At 36.8% G+C, this 25,639-nt stretch overlaps 1 protein-coding gene across 5 annotated transcripts in view; it reads right to left on the bottom strand.

Moving 5' to 3' along the window:
* The window catches only part of DYNC1I1 (dynein cytoplasmic 1 intermediate chain 1), a 337,769-nt gene that overhangs the window by 275,496 nt on the left and 36,634 nt on the right, over positions 1-25,639 (bottom strand). For 2 of the 5 annotated variants that reach the window (NM_001278422.2, NM_001135557.2), the window contains exons 3-4: positions 24,321-24,435; positions 21,490-21,580 (exon numbers count right to left, since the gene is read on the bottom strand). In NM_001278422.2, the coding sequence (NP_001265351.1) occupies positions 21,490-21,580; positions 24,321-24,435 (206 nt within the window). Of the gene's footprint in view, positions 1-6,710; positions 6,771-21,489; positions 21,632-24,320; positions 24,436-25,639 lie in introns of all 5 variants that reach the window. The other 3 variants (NM_004411.5, NM_001135556.2, NM_001278421.2) reach the window with 3 other exon arrangements.

The following is a 25,639-nucleotide window of genomic DNA, read 5'->3' as shown; positions in this document are numbered from 1 at the left end:
TAAAGGGGATATCACCACCGATCCCACAGAAATACAAACTACCATCAGAGAATACTACAAACACCTCTACGCAAATAAACTAGAAAATCTAGAAGAAATGGATAAATTCCTCGACACATACACTCTCCCAAGACTAAACCAGGAAGAAGTTGAATCTCTGAATAGACCAATAACAGGATCTGAAATTGTGGCAATAATCAATAGCTTACCAACCAAAAAGAGTCCAGGACCAGATGGATTCACAGCCCAATTCTACCAGAGGTACAAGGAGGAACTGGTACCATTCCTTCTGAAACTATTCCAATCAATAGAAAAAGAGGGAATCCTCCCTAACTCATTTTATGAGGCCAGCATCATTCTGATACCAAAGCCGGGCAGAGACACAAACAAAAAAGAGAATTTTAGACCAATATCCTTGATGAACATTGATGCAAAAATCCTCAATAAAATACTGGCAAAACGAATCCAGCAGCACATCAAAAAGCTTATCCACCATGATCAAGTGGGCTTCATCCCTGGGATGCAAGGCTGGTTCAATATATGCAAATCAATAAATGTAATCCAGCATATAAACAGAGCCAAAGACAAAAACCACATGATTATCTCAATAGATGCAGAAAAGGCCTTTGACAAAATTCAACAACCCTTCATGCTAAAAACTCTCAATAAATTAGGTATTGATGGGACGTATTTCAAAATAATAAGAGCTATCTATGACAAACCCACAGCCAATATCATACTGAATGGGCAAAAACTGGAAGCATTCCCTTTGAAAACTGGCACAAGACAGGGATGCCCTCTCTCACCACTCCTATTCAACATAGTGTTGGAAGTTCTGGCCAGGGCAATTAGGCAGGACAAGGAAATAAAGGGTATTCAATTAGGAAAAGAGGAAGTCAAATTGTCCCTCTTTGCAGACAACATGATTGTATATCTAGAAAACCCCATTGTCTCAGCCCAAAATCTCCTTAAGCTGAGAAGCAACTTCAGCAAAGTCTCAGGATACAAAATCAATGTACAAAAATCACAAGCATTCTTATACACCAACAACAGACAAACAGAGAGCCAAATCATGAGTGAACTCCCATTCACAATTGCTTCAAAGAGAATAAAATACCTAGGAATCCAACTTACAAGGGACGTGAGGGACCTCTTCAAGGAGAACTACAAACCACTGCTCAATGAAATAAAAGAGGATACAAACAAATGGAAGAACATTCCATGCTCATGGGTAGGAAGAATCAATATCGTGAAAATGGCCATACTGCCCAAGGTAATTTACAGATTCAATGCCATCCCCATCAAGCTACCAATGACTTTCTTCACAGAATTGGAAAAAACTACTTTAAAGTTCATATGGAACCAAAAAAGAGCCCCCATCACCAAGTCAATCCTAAGCCAAAAGAACAAAGCTGGAGGCATCACACTACCTGACTTCAAACTATACTACAAGGCTACAGTAACCAAAACAGCATGGTACTGGCACCAAAACAGAGATATAGATCAATGGAACAGAACAGAGCCCTCAGAAATAATGCCGCATATCTACAACTATCTGATCTTTGACAAACCTGAGAAAAACAAGCAATGGGGAAAGGATTCCCTATTTAATAAATGGTGCTGGGAAAACTGGCTAGCCATATGTAGAAAGCTGAAACTGGATCCCTTCCTTACACCTTATACAAAAATCAATTCAAGATGGATTAAAGACTTAAACATTAGACCTAAAACCATAAAAACCCTAGAAGAAAACCTAGGCAATACCATTCAGGACATAGGCATGGGCTAGGACTTCATGTCTAAAACACCAAAAGCAATGGCAACAAAAGCCAAAATTGACAAATGGGATCTAATTAAACTAAAGAGCTTCTGCACAGCAAAATAAACTACCATCACAGTGAACAGGCAACCTACAAAATGGGAGAAAATTTTCACGACCCACTCATCTGACAAAGGGCTAATATCCAGAATCTACGATAAACTCAAACAAATGTACAAGAAAAAAACAAACAATCCCATCAAAAAGTGGGCAAAGGACATGAACAGACACTTCTCAAAAGAAGACATTTATGCAGCCAAAAAACACATGAAAAAATGCTCATCATCACTGGCCATCAGAGAAATGCAAATCAAAACCACAATGAGATACCATCTCACACCAGTTAGAATGGCAATCATTAAAAAGTCAGGAAATAACAGGTGCTGGAGAGGATGTGGAGAAATAGGAATACTTTTACACTGTTGGTGGGACTGTAAACTAGTTCAACCATTGTGGAAGTCAGTGTGGCAATTCCTCAGGGATCTAGAACTAGAAATACCATTTGACCCAGCCATCCCATTACTGGGTATATATCCAAAGGACTATAAATCATGCTGCTATAAAGACACATGCACACGTATGTTTATTGCGGCACTATTCACAATAGCAAAGACTTGGAACCAACCCAAATGTTCAACAATGTTAGACTGGATTAAGAAAATGTGGCACATATACACCATGGAATACTATGCAGCCATAAAAAATGATGAGTTCATGTCCTTTGTAGGGACATGGATGAAATTGGAAATCATCATTCTCAGTAAACTATCACAAGAACAAAAAACCGAACACCACATATTCTCACTCATAGGTGGGAATTGAACAATGAGAACACATGGACACAGGAAGGGGAACATCACACTCTGGGGACTGTTGTGGGGTGGGGGGAGGGGGGAGGGATAGCATTGGGAGATATACCTAATGCTATATGACGAGTTAGTGGGTGCAGCGCACCAGCATGGCACATGTATACATATGTAACTAACCTGCACAATGTGCACATGTATGCTAAAACTTAAAGTATAATAATAAAAAAAAAGAAAACAACCAATACAATGATAAGGCAATGTATAGAATGGGAGATAATATTTTAATCCATATTACTGATAAGGGGTTAATATCCAAAATATATAAAGAACTGAAACAACTCAATAGCAAAATTACAAATTACCTGATTTAAAAATGCACAGAGGCCCTAAATAGACTTATCTCCAAAGAAGACATAAGATGACCAATATGTATATGAAAAAGTGTTCAACATCACTAATTATCAGAGACATGCAAATCAAAACTATAATGAGATGCAATCAGGATCACTATTATTAAAAATAAAAAATAAGAAGTATTGGAAGGGATATTGAGGAAACAACCTAGTACACTGTTGGTAAGATTGTAAATTGGCATTGCCATTATGGAAAATAATATTGAAGTTCCTCAAATTATTAAAACTAGAGCTACATATTATCTAACAGTCCCTTTTCTGGACATATATATCTAAAGGAAATAAAATTAGTATCTCAAAGAGATATCTGTCTCTGGCCTGGGAGGCAGAGGTTGCAGTGAGCCAAGATCACACCACTGCACTCCAGCCTAGGTGACAGAGTGAGACTCTGTCTCAAAATAAAACAAAGCAAAAAATCTCCTCCACAATATTATTCCAAACCCAAATGATTTCATAGGTGAATTGTGTTCTACCAAATATTAAAATAATTGCTTAAAAATCAACATTATGTTAACAAAAGCATGATCCATAAAAGAACAAATTTGTAAACTGTAATTAGTCAAAATTAAAATGGTTTGCTTTCTTAAAGACACTGTTAAGAAAATGAAAATGACAGGTCATAGACTGAGAGAAAATATTAATAAATTATATACCCCATAAAGCATTTTATCCAGAACATACGAAGAACTTTCAAAATCAATTATGAGAAAATAACCCAACTCAAAAACAATATATAAGACTAACAGATTTAAGCAGACATTTCATCAGAGAGGATACTCATATGGCAAATAAGCAACTAAAGAGATATTCAACATTATTAGTCATTAGGGAAATGCAAATTAAAACCACAATGAAATACCACTATACTTCTTTAATAATAGTTAACAAATTAATAATTTCTTTTAAGAAGCTCAAACTAAGCGTTGTCAAGAATGTGGAAAAATCGAGGCTCTCATAAACTGCTCGTGGGAATGCATAATGGTAAAACCATTTTGAAAACAGTTTGACAATTTCTTAAAAAGTTAAATGTGTATCTACTATATGATTCAACCATAAATACCTCTACTGGGAGGTATTTGCCCAAAAGAAATGAAAGCATATGTGCATTAAAATATTTGTACATGAATGTTTATAGCAGTTCTATTTGTAATGGGCAAAAATTGTAAACAACCCAATGTATATAAAAAGTGACTGGATAAACAAACTGTGGTATATCCATACAATGAAATAAAAAGGATAGAGCTGTTTATATAAACTTAACCTGAATGAATCTCAAAATAATCCTTCTGAATGAAGGAAGTCAGTCAAAGGAGTACCTCCTGGATGATTTCATTTATATGACAATCTAGGAAAGGCAAACTAAGGTATAGTGATAGAAAGCAGATCAGATGTTTGGGGGATAGGGAAGAACAGGAAGAAGCAAGAGTGTAGATAACAAAGGGGCATGAGGAAACTCTGGGGATGATTAATGTGTTCACTATCTTGATTGTGGTAATAATTTCATGGATGTGCATACATGTCAAAAATCATCAATTTGAATAGTTTTAATATGTGTAGTTTATTTAAAGCCAGTTATACTTCAGTAAAGGTGTTAAATTAAGTGACAAAGGAAGCTATGGACTATGATCATTCCCATGCCACAGCTCAAGAAGGTGAAATAAAACTCTCTAGAAAAATCTAGAAATTTTCATTAAGGCAATATTTGAAATTGTAAAATGGCTAAAATAATGTCATCTCTCAAAAATTCTCTGAAAATGCCTTCAAACTCTCTAAGATAAGCCACTCACTCACAGGCAGATGGCATTTAACCTAAAATGCAAATAGTCCTTCAACCTCCTTTTATACCTACAGTGGGCATTGAAATTGATAGAACCTCAGAGATGTATGCCCAGGAATCTCAGGAATTCAAAATGAATAATAAATAAATAAATGCCTAGTTTGGGGTATATCGGTTTGTATTTAGAAAGTGAACAGAAAGTCTCCATCTTCTCTCTCCAACACACTGGGTTCACTCTCAAGTATAATGCAGCAGGTAAGGTGGGTCCACAGATATGCTATATCCCTAGAATAAGTCACAAATTTTAATCTGCATAGTCAACATGAGTTTTTGCTTGGAAAACAGATATAAATGGGAAAATTCCAAACTATTCCACATCAGCAAGTGTAATTTAGCACTGCTGCAATCTGTCTAAAAATCTGTTAATTTAAGTGCATGGGGTAGTCTCTGCCAGTTCTTTCCCCTGCCTGTTTTTTTAACACAATATAATTTTGAAGAACTGCATTCTGAAGTTCCCCTGAACTATAACTTACCATACATTCTCTGCTTTATTTAAGCCATATCTCTTGGTTATTTAAATAATACAAATTGAAATATAACATAAATGAACTATATAACTAAATAGCCAAGAATTTAGTAAGGTTAAAAAAGAAATAGTGCATCGGTTACCTAAATGTTAGGATATTTCCTTGGCTTAGTATTGTCATGAATCAGCTAAGAATTTTTGCATATGCAAAGGGTCACAGGCAGATGGCATTTAACCTAACATGCAAATAGCCCTTCAACCTCCTTTTATACCTACAGTAGGCATTGAAACTGACAGAACCTCAGAGATATATGCCCAGGAATCTCAGGAATTCAAAATGAATAATAAGTAAATAAATGCCTGGTTTGGGATATGTTGGTTTATATTTAGAAAGAAAAGATAATGGTTCCATAAAATGTGGTTATGAAACTTGCTGTTCACTTAGAGATATCCAGTGCTCTGTCGGTAAATGCTTAATAAATTGCTTGTAGGAAAGGAGGCAATTTCTGTGGTGTAAATACTTCCACCGTGGCTGATTTCCAGCTGATTTAACTTAATGTGAAGTTGAGAAGAGAAATGCGCAATCAGCTCTCCTGAGCTTGATGACCAGCTGATACAAACACCCCACCAGTAATATCTCCTGTGTGACTACAGCTAACTCCAATCCTACAACGGAAATAAATTGAGTTTCTAGGATATGTCTGTGTGTTTTATTCCACTCCAAGTCTTCATCTCTGAGGTTTTCTTTTAACTTGTGATAATACATTTACATCTGAAAAAGATGATATTTAGGACATAGGAGACATTACTCAACATCTAGTATTTGAAATATCTTTAGATCAAGGTATTCAATTAATTTCCTTGGTTTTTTTTAAACAGGAATCTTTAACTGTTCAAACTTAATTCAAATTAAGTGCTTATTGTGAGTTCCCCAAAAACTGAAAAGAAAAGTAAAGAAACAAGACCCAATATTTTCATACTGATCTTAGACCAAAGTTAACTTAAGGCAACTTGTTAGTAAAGGGGAGGATGGTGATGATAAAGCCAAACATATCTCCCGCTGCAGAACTTGTGTGCCCCACTTTTAATTAGATGTGTGGGTTTATGTTTGATTTTTGTTTGGGGGAGTGTTGTTTTGCAATAATAGGAATTAATAAGGAGAAATCAAAAGCCATCTTTTTGTGGTGTTTTCCACAAAGAGAGACTTTCTTCAAAGCTTTATAAGGAAAATCAACAGAAGGAAACGAACTTATCAAACTGGAAGTTCAACAAAAGGGGAGAACACAAGAGCAACAACAGCTCCAGCATTTCAACACAACTGTAGCAAAGAAATAATAAAAGGAGTAACAAAAGAGCAGACATATACCCAAGTTCTGAGTCTGACTGCAGCTGGAGCACTGAGGGGTCTGTGTCCCACTGCAGGGTCCTAATTGTGCAGCACAAAGGAAAAAGAACACAGAGAATTAACAAAAGGGGAGGGCAACAAACCAAACCAAACTATGTCATTCATCAAGGCAAGAGCATATACAATACATACACAGAACATGTCCCCCTTCCATCCCCTCCACCCCCAGTGACTATCAAACAAGAGAAATCGAGGAGCCATCCTTTCCTGCAAACATCTGTTTAATATCGGGAGCTATGGCTGCTTTCATGAAAGAAAGTTGAGACCAAGTGTTCAAACTCCACACACACCCCTACCCTTTGTTTTGTTTTGTATTGAAGCCTCATTGATTTGGGCAAGTAAACCACTGCATGTATCTCTGACACCCCAGAGCCCACCCACATCTGGGAACTCCAAGCATCTTCTATGTGGTGAAAAGAACTAAACGCAAGGGTGCAAATGGGTAAGGGCAGGGGTATGACTGCAGGGCCTGGTGAATAACTGCCTTCCTTGGATCAGGTACTACAAATATAATGCATTAGATTTCAAGACTCATGAGTATTTTATGCTTATTTATATATTGTACACCAAGATGGTCACCAACAATATCATTTCTGTCTAAGATGTCAGGGATTGATTATATCTTATATTTTTTAAACATTGCATAAGCAATGGCACAAAGTATCAATAGTTACCAAAGCATCCAATTTCCCTTGTTATTTCTCCTTCTAAATAAGAGGGGATAAATGGCTCTTCTATAAACAGAGCACATGCCAGGACTTTTCTCAGCCAGGCTCTTTAAATATCCTGCACAGTACCGGTTACAGGTGAATCAGGCATGAGGTTATCTCAGAGGCAACTAATGGACAGCACAAACTTTAGGATCAGGCATCTGTGATTCAAATCTTACCTCTGTGACTTACCAGCTGTGTGACATTGAGCGTGCTGTTTAATAAGTTCTCAGCCCCTGCATCCCTTTGTTTACTCTGTGGCCTACAGAGCAGTAGCATCAACATCTCTTGGGAGTTTGTTGGAAATGCAGAAACTCACGTCCCACCCCAGACTTAGTGACTCCATATTACAGTTTAACAAGTTCCCCAGGTGATCCATGGGCACCCTTAATTTGAGAAGCCCTGCTCGGTTTCCTTGTCTATAAATACTTACTGTAGCTTATATGGTAACTTATGAACTGGCCTGCAGTGATCTTCCAAACTTCTCTCTAACCATTCATTCACTCACATGTCAACTCTGCATACTCCTTAATGTTCTTCCTTTAAACATCTGCATGGCTCATGACTTTGCTTCTTTTGTGTCTTGGCTTAAATGTTACCTCCTCAAAGAGGCTCCCCTGCTTCACCACCTGATCTCAGGTAGCACTTCCTTATCACTCTTCATTTCCTTCCTTTCCCCTGCTTTATTTCCTTCATAGCACTCATCTTTACCTATGATTTTCTTGTATATCAGCTTATTTATTTTTGTTTGTTGTCTGACTTTGGAGTTAAGCTTCATAATGGCAGGGGTGGCTACATCTCTAGAATATAGGGATATGCCTAGAACTGTATCGCGCATATGTGCTTATATAATACGATATTTGTTGAATGAATGAATATTTTGCTGGTTTTCTACAAGGATTAAATGCAGGTATACCTATAAAGCACATGGCAACCATATGATAAGCAGCAGCTGCTTTTACTACTGCCACAATCACTCTATCTACTCTTAATGTTTCTTTGAGTCAATGCCCGACCTATTTGACAGATCACATATTAACCCCTCCTGCAGAAGTAGCGGAATACAGATTCACAGCTTCCCTTCTATGCTCTGGCTGTGCTCTTGTCTTTTTACATAGAACCTCTGAAAGATTAAAACTGAAGTCCAATGAGACACTAACTGGCGAGTGTTTCTTAGACCAGTGCTTCTCAAATTTTAATACACATACAGATACCCGGGAATATTGCTAAAATGCAGTCTGACTTAGTAGGTGTGCGGGTGGCCCGAGACTCTGCATTTCAAACACGCTCCAGGACATACAGATGCTGCTGCTCTGTGGAACACACTTTGAGCAGCAATGACTTGACTTACATAAGTGGTTCTCAAGCTTTCATGTTCATCAGAATGACCTGGAGAGCTTTAATAAGCTGATCCCCAACCCTAGAAATTCTGATCAGTAGATCAGTAAATCTGGAGTGGGGCCCTAGAATTTGTAGTTCTAACAAGTTTCCAGGTGATGTTTACAAGGTTAATCATGGGACCACCTTTGGAGAATGACAGAGCTAGACTATTGCTTTCAGTAGTCAGCATGCAGAAAGCATCACTGAAGCTCAAATACATTAGCATCTAAACTTCTGATTTGCTCAAGCCTGGCATCAGATCCAGGCCACCCCTAGACCAATTAAGCCAGAATGTCTGGGGTGGGACCCAGGCATCTGTAGTTTTTTAAAGCTTTCCAGGTGATTCTAATGTGCAGCCAGGGGTGAGAACCCCTGCTCTGAATTCATTCTCTGCTGAAGAAAATTAGCCCTTCTTGCTTCTGGGCACTGATTCTTTAATCTCAGTTCAAATTGTGAAAGTAATGGAATATGTTAACGTAATTCATATTTGCTGTTCACATATCTCTGGGGGTCAAATTTAAGATCATTTCTTCTGCTGTAGACAAAAGAGCAGACTCTGGCTCTTGCTGATTGTAAGAAGCTTTCCTTGCAAGGAGTAGGATCAACTATTTGACCTCCATTTTCCTTGAGGTTTCTGATGGGCTGATTTTTAGTGACCTTTTCCACTTCTCCCAGCAGCTCCCCGATGGTCTGGCTCTTCTGATACTTATTGGACAGATCACCTGAACTCACTATACCCTTAAGAAGTATAAATAGTGATTCTATCAAATCATCCACTTAAAAAGTCCACAGATTAGTACTGGGGAGTTTGCATTTACTCGGCCAGAAAAACCAAGGTAGGAATGTAACACCACAACAGCCTTGCCTCCTGGCACACCTATGTTATTCAGTAACAGAAACCATAGTTATTGTCAGTAACAAGCTGTGGGCTAAGGGGTGAAGCCAAGGATGCTATCAAATGTGCCAGTTGTATTATCTTTTCATTTTTCCCATTATTATCTGTGGGGTGGTTCCCTTCAAGGAATATGCAAATATGCAAATTTTTTGAAAGGAACTTAAAGCCAATATGCAAAATGGGCAAAAGTTGTTTGTGTTTCCAGGGATAGCCTAGAAATATGTATTAAACATTCGCCGAATTCCTTCTGTGTAAACCGTGCAGGACAGCTTCCCCGCAGATGGCAGTATCTTAGAGAGGAGCACTCCTGGCCCCGGGTTGCAGGTCTGTGTCCTGGATATGGCTTCAGTGTGTCATCAGGCAAATCTCCTTTTGTTCCCAGCAAATGAGGGTGCAGGCCTTAAGGCCCTTTAACATTCTTCTCTGCCTGATATTTTAAAATCTAGGATGATTATTCAACTGCCTTTTAGCTTTCTCTTCTCCAGTTAGAATAATTTATTTAACCAATGGGCAGAGATCTTATTTTCCAGCCATTTTACCAAGTAATTGTATCTCTGAAAATAAAATGATGGTGATATAGAAATCACCCTGTTTACTATAATAATTAGTTCTATTTTTTAGTCATTTCTGGCATGGCTCAATCAATGCATGCAGAGGAGAGAAGATTTTGATAAGAACATTCATTTACTTATTCAAAAACCATCTATTAAGAACCTAAAATACAAAATACTGTAACAGAGGGTTGAAAAAATGTTCAAGGAACCTACAGCTCTTATGAGGAGATAAAACCTATACCAATAGGCCTGGCACGGTAACTCATGCCTGTAAGCCCAGCACTTTGGAAGGCCAAGGCAGGCAGATTGCTGAAGCCCACGGGTTCCAAGACCAGCCTGGGCGACACGACGAAACTCTGCATCTACAAAAAAATACAGAAATTAGCCGGGTATGGTGGTGCTCGCCTGTGGTCGCAGCTACTCAGGAGGCTGAGGTGGGAGGACAGCTTGAGCCTGGGAAGTGGAGGTTGCAGTGAGCTGAGATCATGCCACTGCACTCCAGCCTGGGTGACAGTAAGACCCTGCCTCAAAAAAAAAAAAAAAAACAAAAAACCAAAACATATATATATATATATATATATATATAGTTTAGTAGAACAAATCTGAAAGTAAAACTTGCCATATTCCATTTGACCTGGTCTTGGAGGAGGGGTAGGATTTGGGCCTAAATTCATTTTCCGCAGTGCTTAGTTTATTGGACTTAGGTGGCTGAGTTAGTCCACTAGGTCTTATAAGACTGTTATATTTTAGATGCCAACTTAACAATTTGTTGTGAGAACAATAATAACCAGGCAGACAAATATGTAAACCTGACAAAGTCTTCTCTCCTTGAAGCCCCGCTTCCTGGGAAGCCAGATGTCCAGCAGTATCTTTGGGACTAGAGTAGGTGATGCTGAATGTTTAACTATGACAGCTTCCCCTACCCGGCAGTACCACATGTATGCTGAGGGACATGGAACTTGCACTTAAGACTTTTCCATTTTGGTAAAAGAAATGAGACATATGAATATTTATGCCTAATAATATACCGATAACATCTACAAGGAAGAAAGTAGCTCTCATCACTTGCTCAGAGACTGGCACAGTTTAAAGTTTGAATAAATATGAGCTGAAAATATTAATAAATGCCATAGGAAAGACAGATTAAGAATGGTGATTGTTATAATTTCCCTTCACTTAGTGTTTGCTCCGTGCCAGCCAGCCAGGCATTGGACTGCAGTTTCATCATCCTTTGGAAGTCACAGCAGGGAGACACAATTCCACTGAAAAGATTAGAGATTCCATTTGACCTGGTCTTGGAGGAGGGGATAGGATTTGGGCCTAAATTCATTTTCCTCAGTGCTTAGTTTATTGGACTTAGGTGGCTGAGGTAGTCCACTAGGTCTTATAAGACTGCTATATTTTAGATGCCAACTTAGCAATTTGTTGTGAGAACAATAATAACCAGGCAGACAAATATATAAGCCTAACAAAGTCTTCTCTCCTTGAAGCCCAGCTTCCTGGGAAGCCAGATGTCCAGCAGTATCTTTGGGACTAGAGTAGGTGATGCTGAATGTTTAACTACGACAGCTTCCCCTGCCCTCCCCCACCATGACCTTATCTTTCCCCAAGACCAGACATCATCCTCACTGCTACCCAAGTCTCCCCTTTCTGGAATTCCTGGGATGACCAACCTAGCCTTTGTTGTTTGATACAATCTTTCTTTAACTATGTCAGTTAAATTTCCGTCAGTATTCCCCGCTGGGGAACCATCCTGGTGTTGTTTGTTTGCTTATTTTTATGAGTTGCATTTGGCTGCTCTGATTAGTTTCAATTGATTTCTTAGGCTAACTTTCTGAGGTTCTGTCTAGGTGGGATCTCTGATCTCTGTTTCATAGGAGCCCTATTATGTGTTCAGAAGCTAAGTAACCCAATAATTCTGTACCTACTCTGGACCAACAGGCACTGTTACGGTTCTATGGTCCCAGGGTTGGATTGGCTGTTTTGGACATGCCAATTAAGGTCACATTTCCTAACTTCATTTCAAAATACAGAAGCTTCCCAACATGGAAAATACTCACTTATTTAACCTTGAACATATCAAAAACATTGTAGCCTCTGGCACCTTATACAAAAATGCCTACCATGTAGTAGTTAATTTATAATTTGTGGGTCAATTTGTTTTTCAATATTTTTAAAAAAGAATAGGCAAACATCAAAATTCTTCAAACTAGCCGTAACCAACTAAGAGACAAGCAGAATTTCATTTCATATTTTAAACCTTGTACCAATTCATTACTTTTTAATTTCTTATAAAATTCCCCTTTCATTGGCTCAATTTTATTTGCTCAGTTTCAGTTTATGAGACAGAAAGAAGTGAAAATTTTAAAATATCCTTGGCCATCTGTTGAAAGTGTAACTTAGGAGTGAAAGACATAATGTCTGTGTTGCATATACCTTGCACTCTGATGAGTGGTCAATTTCTTCCCATTCAGCTTTTACCAACAACAAGTTGGTGGTTTCCATTCTTCTTTCCATCTTATTAGACCTCAGAGCAGAAAACCTTAGAATTATTTCCTAAAGAGTGTTTTTGTTCTTACCTTTTCTAGTCTTTGGCTATAAGAAAGAGATGTTCAATAAATATTTGGAAGGCAGTAGTTAACAAATTTCTCATTTATAATGCTAACACTCAATGTGGCTAAGGCAGTCTCATACACTGTTGGTAGCATTTAAATTAGTAAAGTTCTTTGGGAAGTAATATGCCAATATATGGCAGGAACATAAAAAATAGAATTACTCCTGGACTAGTTTTGCTCCCAGGACCTCAGCCTATGAAAATAAAACAGCGTCAATAATAATAATAATAATAACAAAAAATGATAATGATGATTATAATGATGACGACAACCACCTCCAAATCATCAAATCCCATGGTCGGTTCTTGTTCCTTATCTTTGCTGTCTCTGATTTTGGTCACTATTGGCTCCTTCTTGGCATAGTCTTTCTTTTAGTTTTCTTGGCCCTGAAAATCTTATTTCTTTTCCTCCCTCTCTCACTGTGTTTTTGGCAGTACCCTTGCTCTTTCCATTCCAATAAAGACAGGCATTCTCCAACCAGGATTCTATCTTCTCCCCTCACCTTTCTACTCTAACCCCAGGCAATCACACAGACGTCCATATATCTTCTGCAAAATAACCCCAAAGTCCTCATTACCATTGAGCTCTTCTCTGAGTATGCATATTTGAGAGCTGTAACTACACAGCAACATTTCCTTAGATTCAAATTAAATGTGTCAATTTACTTGCTCTTTAGAAGTAAGAAGAATATTTATATTCCTTGAAAGTCTAGTATAGTATCTGATAGACAATAAATTCTCAATTGTTTACTGAATGACTTGATGAATGAATGAACAAATGAATATTCTTTACCTGGCTTTTCTGTAGATGGGTGTGACGTGTGAGGGCAAGTTGATTCCAAAAGAAACAGTTTTTACGTTTTTATTAAAAAATGAAATAATAAATCAGGGCATGTCTCCCTAAATCCCTTAATATCCATCAAAGCATTTATGGAAAACTCAGTCTTACTCAGCGTGATGTCACTACATGGCCGCAGGAGAGTTTTCAGACTCACTTCCATACTGAAGAAGGAAAGCATATCTTATCTAATAAAAATGCTGACCACTGGCCGGCCATGATGGCCCATGCCGGTAATCCCAGAGCTTTGGGAGGCCGAGGCAGGAGGATCACTTGAGACCAGGAGTTCAAGACCAGCCTGGGTAACATAGCGAGACCCTGTCTCTATGAATATTATTATTTTTAAAATGCTCAACATATTGCTGATTTGTGGTGAAAAACAAAAGCGGTCCAGCCATCTTCTCTACCAAGTGAATTTAGTAACTTTAATTAGTCCCTGAAGCAACTGCACTGGAACTCAAATTTTCATGTTCTTCCTTTTCTCTCTAAGATGGAGAGAGAGCTCAAGGACAGAATACAGAGATTTCCTGAGTCGCACAGTTTCTCTGAGCTCTTGTTCCACATGTCTTCTCTGTCAAACAAATCACTAGTGATTAATCAGCCAGTGCAAACAGTTTGGGATTATGTAAGCATAGTGCCAAACAGAAAATATCTAGTCAATGCCATCGCTAAATATCTAATTTTTAAAATGCCGTTTCCAAAAGTAATACATGAAATAATAAGGACATTTTAAAATCCATCATATCACTCATCTGTCACATTCATTAAAGTGATGTTAATTAAGAAAGGATGGTATTCAAATAATGAGTTAATGTTTTATTTCCTGGCCTCAATTTTTTCCTTACTTAGGACTGGCAATGATGATAAAGATTTTCTGATGTCAGAAATAAATGTGGAACAGTGAAATACATACTTATATCAGGCTCTTTTTAAAAAGCATTTTTCTTAATTTATGGTGGGAGAATTTTCCATCTGTTGGCTAACACCTGAGCCCTAATATGGAGCTCCAGAGCGAGCCACACTAAGCCACATGGGAAGTCCATCTGAGCTGGATTCAATAAGAAATGTAGGACTTCCCATCATAGAACAAGAGCATGTTTTCCCAAAATCTTACACAAAAGTCCTGCTGTCAAGCAAGCAGTTTCTCTAGAAGAAAGCTCAGCTACCCTTTCCTAAAATAGATGCTTACTGTGTTACTATAACCATATGGGTACATAGAGCACACTTTGCCTGAAGACAATGATATTAAAAATTTTGAACTTATTGTGCTGCATAAAGAGAAAACCCTATAGTGTAAATCTTATTTTAATTTACAAAGAGACTGACTTTTAACCAACCTTGAATTAGCGACTTCAGTCTCCCCAAAGTCGAATTGGCTGGTAGCATCCTGTCAATCTCTCTTTATATAATGATACTTTAAAATTTTTTTGTATAAGCAAAATTTTAATAGTCTTATTAAATTTCCCCCATAATCTTGTATTATTTATTACACTTTTCACCTTTACTAATACTTCCTTTATGACTTCCCTTTAGCCTCTGATTTATCAGAGCATCTTAGAAGATGATGATGCTTTCACCCAAATGGGTCAAGTCCTTTGAGGCCTACATAGTTCCAAAGAATCCTGCAGAATCTGACTGTGGATAAAGGTGAAGGTCCTAAGGATTTCCTTTGAGTATTATGTCCATGTGGCCCCAGAACACATTTTTCTTTCCTGAAGTCACTAAAAAAAAAGTAGTAACTACATGCAGACAGGACAAGTTGCCCACAACGAATTATTGTAGCCCAAAAACAAGTATCTAAATTTAACCAAAGCTTTCTGTCAATAAGAAACTGAATAGTAACTATATGGAGGCCCAGTATCCAAGCTGAAGAGAGAACATTGAAGAAATCTGTCCCTTTGTCCCTGAATTCTAATCTGAAATTCACATGAAGCTGAAAGCCTAAGAGACTTTTAATCCATTCCCTTTGTATCATCATTCTCCTGTGATGTGCTTCAGAAGACATTTCTCCACCTGCTGCATTTGTGGTACCCTTGAGAGGGGCCTCACCTCCCTAGAGAACAATCTACGAATATCAGTGTTTTGGGTTAAGAAATGCTGCTAATTGTGAGCACAGGCATCAGTTTTAAATACTACAGGATTTTATTGGGGCCAATTGGGGAAATTTGAAGATAGTGTAGATACTAGATAAGGTGAAAATACATTGAAATATAAAAATACACTTGATTGAAAAAGCAGGTTCAACAGTTTTCACAGTAAGATGTCATTTATCATTATATATGATGACATACATATAATATAAAAGAATAAGCACTAAGGTGCTAAGAGTGCTACTCTGGTGGTGGAAACATGATGTTTTTATTTTGTTATTTTTGCTCATTTATATTTTCTAGTTGTATAAAATACACAGGTGTTGTTTCTATAATAGTAAGAGATTTTTAGGCTGGGCACAATGGGTCCTGCCTGTAATCTCAGCACTTTGGGAGGGAGAGGCAGGAGGATCCCACCACTTTGGGATGAAGAGGGAGGAGAATCATTTGAGGCCAGAAGTTCAAGACCAGCCTGGGGAATATAGCAATGCTTCGTCTCTACAAAAAAAAAAAAAAAAAAAAATTAAATCAGCTGGGTGTGGTGGTATGCAACTGTACTCCTAGCTATGCAGGAAGCTGAAGTGGGAGAATAGCTTGATCCCGGGAATTCGAGGCTTCATTGAGCTAAGATTGTGCCACCACTGCTGCCTGGGTGACAGAGAGACTTTGTCTTTAAAAAAAAAAAAGATTTAAAAAATAAAATGTTGGAGGAGGGCTTAAATGTCTTGATTGATTGGAAAGTAGAACTTAATGATGGTGTTAAGACCAAAGATGGTCAAAAAAAAAAAAAAGACAAAAATTAATTCTATTACTACCCTCCATGACACTTCTCACCAAAGACAAACATCAGAAATCTCCCCTTCGGACTATTTTGTTAAGGATGTTATGCAATGGGTGTTATTATTGTGACAGGATATTGCACAGTATGTTATCACGTTGAGAGATGTTTTAACTTTGAAAACATTTTCAACATTTCCTTCCATTTGGGACAGGTTGTAGCCTACACTGTGGTGTCCAGCTGAACTTTATGAAGTCAATACACTTTCCTATATTTTTGCAGGCCAGTACACCTTCTAGTTCAGCTCTGTCATTGCGAACCCTAAGGAATTACAACTAAACATGAGAAAAGTCCTAGTGCAAAGTCCCTTGTGAGCCATCCATGTGAATGAGAAGAATAAATGTTGGCTGAATGATTTTCACTTAGATCGATTCACTTCTGGTTGCTATCTGAAGGTTAGTGAGTAAGGAGTGGGCAACCCAGAATGTGGTCTGTAGGGGCATGGATTACAATCTGTCCTTTGCCTTGTCATGTTTAATAATTTTATGTAATTACGTGGATAAAGATACAGGCAATGCTTACTAAAATTGAAAATGACACCAACATGTTCTATGAGAGGATCTAAAAAGATTTTTTCCCATAGGAAAAATGGCTAAATTAAAATATGAAAAAATTATAATAATTGCTAAAACTCACATATAGTTAGTATACACCAGACTCCTTTCTGAGTACTTTATAGAGCATTACTTTGTATAATCCTCACAATAACCTTATGGGGTAGGTTGTGTATCACTCATATCAACTACTGTTAGAGATTATGTAGCATAGAGATATACATTGTGGAAACTTGAATCAACCTGCCTAGGTAAAAACCTAGCACTGTAGCAAAACAACACTCTGTATGAACTTGAGAAAATTACTTATTCTCTCTGCGCATCTCAGTGTCCTCATTGGTAAAAAGCAGAATTATATAGTTCATTCTACAAACTTTTTTTTTTTTTTTTAATCTTGGATGTTATGTTGCCCAGGCTGGTCTTGAACTCCTAGCCTCAAACAATCCTCCTGCCTCAGCCTCCCAAGTAGCTGGTATTACAGTTCTGAGCTACCACACCTCACTCAGCAAACATTTATCAAATACCTACCACATGAGTATCACTTAGTCCCTACTTTCAAGGAATTCACCACTTTCTGAGGATGAGAGACATGTTCAACTAAACAAAAGCCGTTCTTCAGGACTATAAAGTGCTAATGCTTCACTCTTATGTATAAAAAGCGTAAGCTGTTTCAGACAAATATTCTTTACCATATTGAGAAAATATTTTCTATTCCTAGTTTGCTACATTTTAAAATATAGGAATAAGTGTTTAAATTTCTTAAGTATAATTTAAGTACATATTGCAATGATTATTTTTCCTTCTTTGACCTTTTTGTATGCTAAATTATATGGTAAGACATTTTCCTATACTAAAATAACCTTGCATTTTTGAAACAATACTAATTAACCATAGCATAGTATCCTCTTAATATGTTGGATTCCAGTTGCATACAGTATATCAAAGATTTTTCATTTATGTTTATAAGTAAAACTAACCCTTCAAACTAACCTTTTCAACAAGCTCTTAAAATCCAAGAGCGTGTTGCTTGCCAGTATAATTAACTGAGCAATGATTAATTGATTCTACCAAAACCGATCAGGAGAAAGAAGATAAAACCAAAAGTATAAGTTGTAAATGAGAAATGGGATATAACAATGGAAGCATAAATTGCAAAACAAATGGTAACACTTTAAGTGAAATTTAAAAAATTAAATCATTAGTATAACTGAAAACTTACATATTTCTACTCTCTACCCATTTTTTAAAATTTTCTCAACTGCTCTTAAAAATCAGTAAGAGGTGGCTGAGTGCAGTGGCTCACGCCTATAATCCCAGCACTTTGGGAGGCCAAGGCAAAAGGATTGCTTAAGGCCAGGAGTTCCAGACCAGCCTGGACAACATAGTGAGACTCCATCTCTACAAAAAGTAAAAATAAAAATTAGCTGTGCATGGTGGTGCATGGCTGTAGTCCCAGCTACTCAGGAGGCCGAGGCAGGAGGATTGCTTGAGCCCAGGAGTTTGAGGTTGCAGTGAGCTATAATTGCACCACTGTACTCCAGCCTGGGCAATGGAGCAAGACGGTCTCTTTAAAATTAAAAAAAAAAAAAATCAATAAGAGGGATTTTTGTTAAAGCACTATTTTTACTTCTTCTCTATAATAAAGTACATTGAGTAGGCCAATTTGCAGATTAACTAGTTACAAAGATTATAAGAAATGTTTGCTAATTTTGGCTTTCTAAAGAAAATTTTAGCTTTGGTTTGAAATTTTGGCAAATGAATGAGATAATTTATATGTGCCTTTAGCTACGGCCAGATGTGTTAATTTAATTCTTGTTATCTTCTGAAAGATTTACCATTTTTTGAAGAGTTCAAATTCCACATAAACAGGCAAATTTATGAGCATAGAGTTATATTCTTAAGAATAACTGAACTCTTTTCCCAGTCTCCTGTTTTATGAAGTGTTAAAGTTAATATAAATTGTTTTCAAAGATGTGTCTTCTACATAAAAAGACATTCAAAGTGGAATTTAAAAAAACTGAAATATAACATTCTCCTGCAATTTAACTTCATATTTATTTTATTAAAGAAAAAAACATAAATTTGTGTGGAATTTTCCTAAGTTCAAAACAAGGGCAGAATTTACTAAGGCATTCTTAATGTGTTCTCCTCAAGCAAACTTTGTGCTCAGTTTTTCTGAAAACTAGCATTTTTCAATGCAAATTTTCTTGCATTTCTATGAAACCTGCACTTTGCAGGAGGTTTACTAATTGACTTCTAGTTACTCAGTCTTGCAAGAACTTTCCTATAAAGAATTGAAGTTACTATTGTGTTGGGTAGGAGTAAGCTGCACCTCTTCCAAAGTGATTCATAAAGTTAAAAAAAATCACCTAAGAAGGAGAAAGAAATAAAGAGTAATATTCTCTGAGAAGAAATAATTGCTGTTGTCCCCAGAGTACTAACAGCATAGGTCAGCTTTCTTTAGAAAGTTTTCCAAAGGGCTCCTCAACTGTGAAGTCAGTAATAGAATTGAATGCTGCCAACTGCACCCTTGAAGCTAAGCAGTAATGACACGCACCATCATGGTACAGAAATGGTCAAATACATTAACTTAATGATAGGCCAATGGACCCCCCCCAAGAAATGTGATTATATTGTGCCAGCTCTTGAATAAATGTTAGATCTTACACAACTGTGTTGCTATTACTTCCTCCTGCCAAAGACCTTTTGAAGTGTTCAAAGCAAAAGATGAGAGAAGACATGTGCTGCCCCAAATCACAAAAGCGATTTGCTAAAATAAACCAGCTTTATGCCCTCAAAAACCTCTACTTTTTTTTTAATTGAAAGCAGTGTCCACTGGTTTCCAAAGGGCCTACGAAAACAAAATATTCAAGTCTGAAGGACACCAACAGGCAGAAATAGGTAACATAATTCCAGTCTTATATGTTGGTTTCAAAAGCAAAAAAACCCTACAGCTCAGATCAACGCTAGATTATCTTCATGTCCAGATCTTCAGCTACCAAATTAACTATGCCTGTGTGGAAACAGTACACTTTCAGAAGAAAATGCTTATGCTAATGCCTTAGGTGAAAAGAGAAAAATGCAAAATTTTATATCTTTGCCCCAGTAATACATACGGAGGCAAGAAATGCACACAGACAAGGACTGGAAAGGTACACAGACAAGCCAAAAGGCTGACTTCTTAGAACAGCAGTGCTGTAGATGGTTGTTTCTTCTTTTATTTAAAACTTGATTAAAGCATTTTATGATTTTTTTAAATTAAGAGTCAAAGCTAGAGTTCATAAATTGCCACAGGCCAAATCTGGCCCATAACTACTTGGAACAAAAGTCATTAACATTTAACATTCAGGAGATTATCACCTGAATATCTGAATTTGTAGCTTCTCAAGAAAAACTGGAAAATGCGGAAAAATTGGGTCCATCATATCATGTGAGCTCAACCAGCTTGAGCTATGAGGGGGCCATCTGGCCTTTAAGAATTGGGTGCAGTTGCCATACTCACATAAATTCCTGCCTGTGGACCCCGGCATGTGGGAACACTGGTGAAGACAGCTGGATTCGGAGATTTACCATGACTCCATCTACATTTATGAAACTTCTCCTTTCTTCTTTTTACATCTTTACCTTTTGGATACCTCTTCAGTGATTAAATTACAGAATGTCTAGATCTACTTTCAGAAGTTACATAATCTGTGAGTCTACATAGTGTAATACAAATTTGGCAATGAACTCACTAAACAGAAGCAGCCAATCCTGATACTACTACTACCAATAATAATACAATAAAAATACTTAGGTGACTGAGTTTTCAAATTAGTCAACTTTACTAAGCAAATAACTCACTTGAAAAATTAAATTTAGAATTAGAACATCTCAATATTCTATTCACAAAGACTTTCATGGAAACCAAAACCAAAGTAGGATAATAAGAAGCTGGATATATATTCAATTATCTACTAAATAATGAAAAGGCTTCTCCCTGCCTTTTTTAAGCCTAAGCTAATGGATATGTGTGTGTTTGTTAAGCAAGACACATGGTGCTAAATTAGCCCACTCAAAGAAGGATGATATATGTTGATCATTTCTAGTGTTCAAGATCATTGCTATTCCACTAAAAATAGCAAGCCACCATAAATTTAAACATAAGATGTCCAAGTACACATGCAGATACATGCACATTTCACAGTATTCTAACAGTGGTGTTGTTGCTGTTTTTTTTTTTTTTTAATTGACACCCATCATGGCCTTTTAAAGGGACAATTCTTACCTTGTTAATGGCCCCAGATCGCCTGAGTCTTGGCTTCCAGCTTCACTGGGAGTGCTCACTGATTTCGAGGAGGGAGACATAGGGGTTGGGACTAAATAATGAAAATAACAGGTATCCCATGTTAAAAAATGCAGCGGCTGCACTGGTGAAGAGCAGTGTCAGACAAATCAAAACAAATGGGCCCAAATTAAAGTGGTTGTATGGCCAGGAGACATTGAGATGGGATAAAGAAAAAAAAAAAAAAGGAAAGAAAAGGAAAAAAGTCCAGTGAATTTTTTGTATTTTGGAAATTAAAATTTGAAATGATTTAGACAGAATTAACCTAGGGATTCTGAGGCCATGTCCACCCTAACAAAGTAAAATGAAGCATCAAAATAGCTATCCAGATAATTCAAGTCAAATATCTCTCTAACATGAACCATCCAGATAATTCTGATTCTTCACATTATTTTGTTAGTATAGATGTGACCTATTAAAAATAAAACAAGGTGTCTATAAAACTTTAAAAGGTTATTAAATAAGTGATTCTGAATAATTTTAAATGGTCAAGGACAGTCAGAAAAATCTGTTGTATGTCTGCATTGAGAGAGAAATGTACTCTGTGGAATATAAGCTGTTTGCCATGAGAGCCTAAGTGACAGATAGAGAAAGGGTAAATGTTGAAACTGGTAATTAAAAAGTCTCTTTCAAAACAAAGAAAAATGCCAGGCTGCTTTATTTTTACATTTAATTAATAGTTGCATCCCATTGTACTGTTTACTGTCTTTGGGACTTGTTTTGCCTTGCCTCCAGCAGCTCTAGAAGACCCTGCCATGTGCACAGAAGTAAGCTGCCACTCTGAAGACAGGAGACAAGTTCAAAGATCAAGGTCGGCACAAGCTGAAAATCTGAGAGCAGGCATAATAAAAGAAAAAAGCTAAAGCCAATGCAATTTTTTCCCCCTTCCTTCAGATACAAGCCAAATGTCCTTCAGATAGAAGCTGCACCAAATAGCCAAGATGGCTCCAGGCCAGGCAATTCAACGGGTTCTCAATATCACATATGCCAGAGAAGCCATATGGATAGAAAGAAATTTCAGTACGTAAATGTAGATTCCCATTTGGTTTCAATCATGTGCAATTTCCTTTTATTTACTTAATAGGGTAAAGGGCTTAACTGTTTTACCCAAATCCTATAACACAATGGCAGATCTGTCGAGAAGCTAGGAATTTTCATGTGGTCCCACAATTAATTCACTGATTACTTACCCTCTGAGTAAGCTCAGAGGGTAAGTCGAAGAGATGGCTGAAAAATGAAAACAGGGCCCTTGCCAGAGTCCGTTGGCAGTAATGCAAGGATACTTCAAAAGTTGGTCATGGTTTAGAGATGTTAATCTGTTTTGTTCTTAAAGTTTAATTACTGGCTTTATGTAGGGTAGGGGAGACTAGGACATACTATTATTGTATTTAACCAGTGTTCACATTGCAACATAATTTCAAAGGCTATTTTGAGGCACAAATATAATTGATTGCAATGTGTCTAACTCATATCAGATGTCAACTAAGTAGAAAAAAATGTGTATCAGCTCCTAAGTAGAAAAGAAGGTCCATCAGTCAAATATAACGTCCCCTAGGTTACATCTTCCACAACATGAAGAAATTAAACCAAAGAATCTAATCTTATTGGGGCTTATTATAGCATTGTTGAACATACTATTTTTACCTATTACAAATTGAGATTGAGTATAAAATGATTTTTAATAGTGTTTTAGTTTTGTGTGTATTAAATTACATCCAGCAATACTTAATAATTTTTAAGCTTATTATATATTGTTCTTTTTCTTATTCACATTGATATAAACATTTGCCATTTTGTTCTACATGGGATAATTTATATTCTTAGTTTAACTAACTATGGAAATAAATGATAATTTATTTTAATATAAAAGTAAATTATGGAATTAACTTCAGAAGAAAGTATTCTAAACAAAAGATCTGAATACTGTATTTATTTTTATGTATTCTTCCAAAAGGGTTTTTAACTATATTGGATATAATGTAGTTTTATAGACACCCTAGGATTAATCTTAAATGTATGGAAAACAAAAGGATAAAAGAAAAATAAAACTATTACATGAGAGATACATAGGTAAGTGACAGAATAAACAAAATATGCACAAGTTACCTTCAACACAAAGAAAACCAATAATTCAATATCCAAGCTTTAGTGATAAAATGAGGTCACAGACAACCAACTAGGAATGAACGAATTAGAGGAGGAGTATTGTAGTGAAAATGCCAATTAGTAATCAAATCAAAATACAATAAAGTCAAATTAATTTAAACTTGTTAATCGGCTGCTAATCTGCCACCATTTTGTTTTCCTTCAAATTCTCACTGTGCCTTCTATTTTCATCATAGACTAACTCTATGCCTGTGGTAGTTATGAAATTCATAACCCAGATCCACAGTATTTAGATTGGCAAAGAGACACTGGAACTCAGCAATGAAAATGAGGAACAATTTAATAAGACATTCCAAGATTTCTTATATTTACCAAGTGGCAACTCATTTAACAAGTATAAAATAATCTACTAGTAACACGGTGGAGAAGGTTGACCATCTAATCAGTCAGTAAGCCCCAAACTACTGACAATTCTACAACTTTCCTCCCATCTCCTTCCAGCCCCCTCAATTCCAAAAACACATGCAACCTGAACCATAAGCCACAGAATGTCTTTAAAAATAAAAATTAAAAAAAACTAAAGACTTAAAAGAATAGTAAACACTGGACATGGTATATCCCACGCAAGTTGATTTTGAGGAATAGTAACAGGAAGCACTTTTAAGTACCTAGAGGCGGCTCCGGTGAGATACCAATGCTTTGCAGCAAAGCCTCTGTCTCTCGTCGTTTGCGATCCAGATCAGAGTCGTCCTGAACGGGTTCTTTCTTCTGCTGCATATCAGCCTAGAAGTAGACGTCAGTAAGAAAAGTTAATAACATAACTAAATGTATGCTTTTCCTGGCTGAAACTAAAAATGATAAATGCATGGCAGTGAAGACAAGGTGAAAGCCCTAAATAGATATAATCACATGTATAAAGGATGAATAAACACCATAATTGCCCCATTTAATAATTACTGGCCCAGTACTTTCTCTTTTGGCTGAAGGCTTTTTCCTGCTTCTATCACGTGGGATGAAAGTTTCTCTCACAGGTTTTGGAAGAGAAAACATCAAGGCAAAGTATTTCTGGCTGGGGATATAATATAAAAAAAAATTCTGTCTCTTTTTTTAGACTTCCTTGTCCCTTCTGGGATATCAGTTATTGATGACTGTGTGTTTGTAATATTCAGGCCCCATGTTTGGGATTGTGCAAACCAGGTATTGTTGGGATCTTGCTGAAAAGTGAAACTATTTATGAAAATTTTTAACTATAAAACACACTATTTGTATTGCTAAGACAAGTTTGCCATGGTTTAAAATAAACTGGGCTAAAATCTGTATTAAGGCATGTGATCAATATTGATATGTCTTGGTACTTTATTCTAATTTTCACAGCATTCCATTATATATACTAACTGGAAGAAGAAAATTATCATGTAGAAAATATAGTAAAACAAAACATTTACAAGAAATTCCTTTCACAAATTCTGTCTAAAAACACATTATGTTTTTCATACTGGCCTCTTAATGTCAGATCCTATGCCCAGTTGGTGTTTTTACAGATCAGTGACAAATTAAAATGCAGGTAAACAAGATCTGTGGTGGGATTCTAGGGGAAATTTAAAAATTCCAAGTCTCTTCTCTCTTTCATAATACAGTTATTACTTAAGATAAGTTATTTGCCCCACATCTGAAACATGATAACATCACGTTGATGTGTAACTACCTCACAACAAAGCTTTGTAAGCTTACAGAAGTGAGGCTGTCTTAAAGCCTGTCAAAAAACATTTCATTATGAGACATACCTTCTTCCCCAAGGAAAGCTGGGTATGCTAACAAGTACATTACTTTCTTTGGGCATGTAGAATACCTTTCAAAGCAAGTGAAGCATTAGCTACACTGTAGTATCTATAAGCAGAAAGAGTTTATGCAACTTTTGACTTACTCCCAGAGGGTAACCTACACACTGATTATAAACTAAGTGCATCTTTGCATATGTCTCTGTGCT

This window comes from Homo sapiens, chromosome 7 (assembly GCF_000001405.40).
Source record: "Homo sapiens chromosome 7, GRCh38.p14 Primary Assembly".
Classification (NCBI taxonomy): Eukaryota; Metazoa; Chordata; class Mammalia; order Primates; family Hominidae; genus Homo; species Homo sapiens.
Note: the sequence above shows the minus strand (reverse complement) of the source record. Positions and strands in the feature narration are given on the sequence as shown.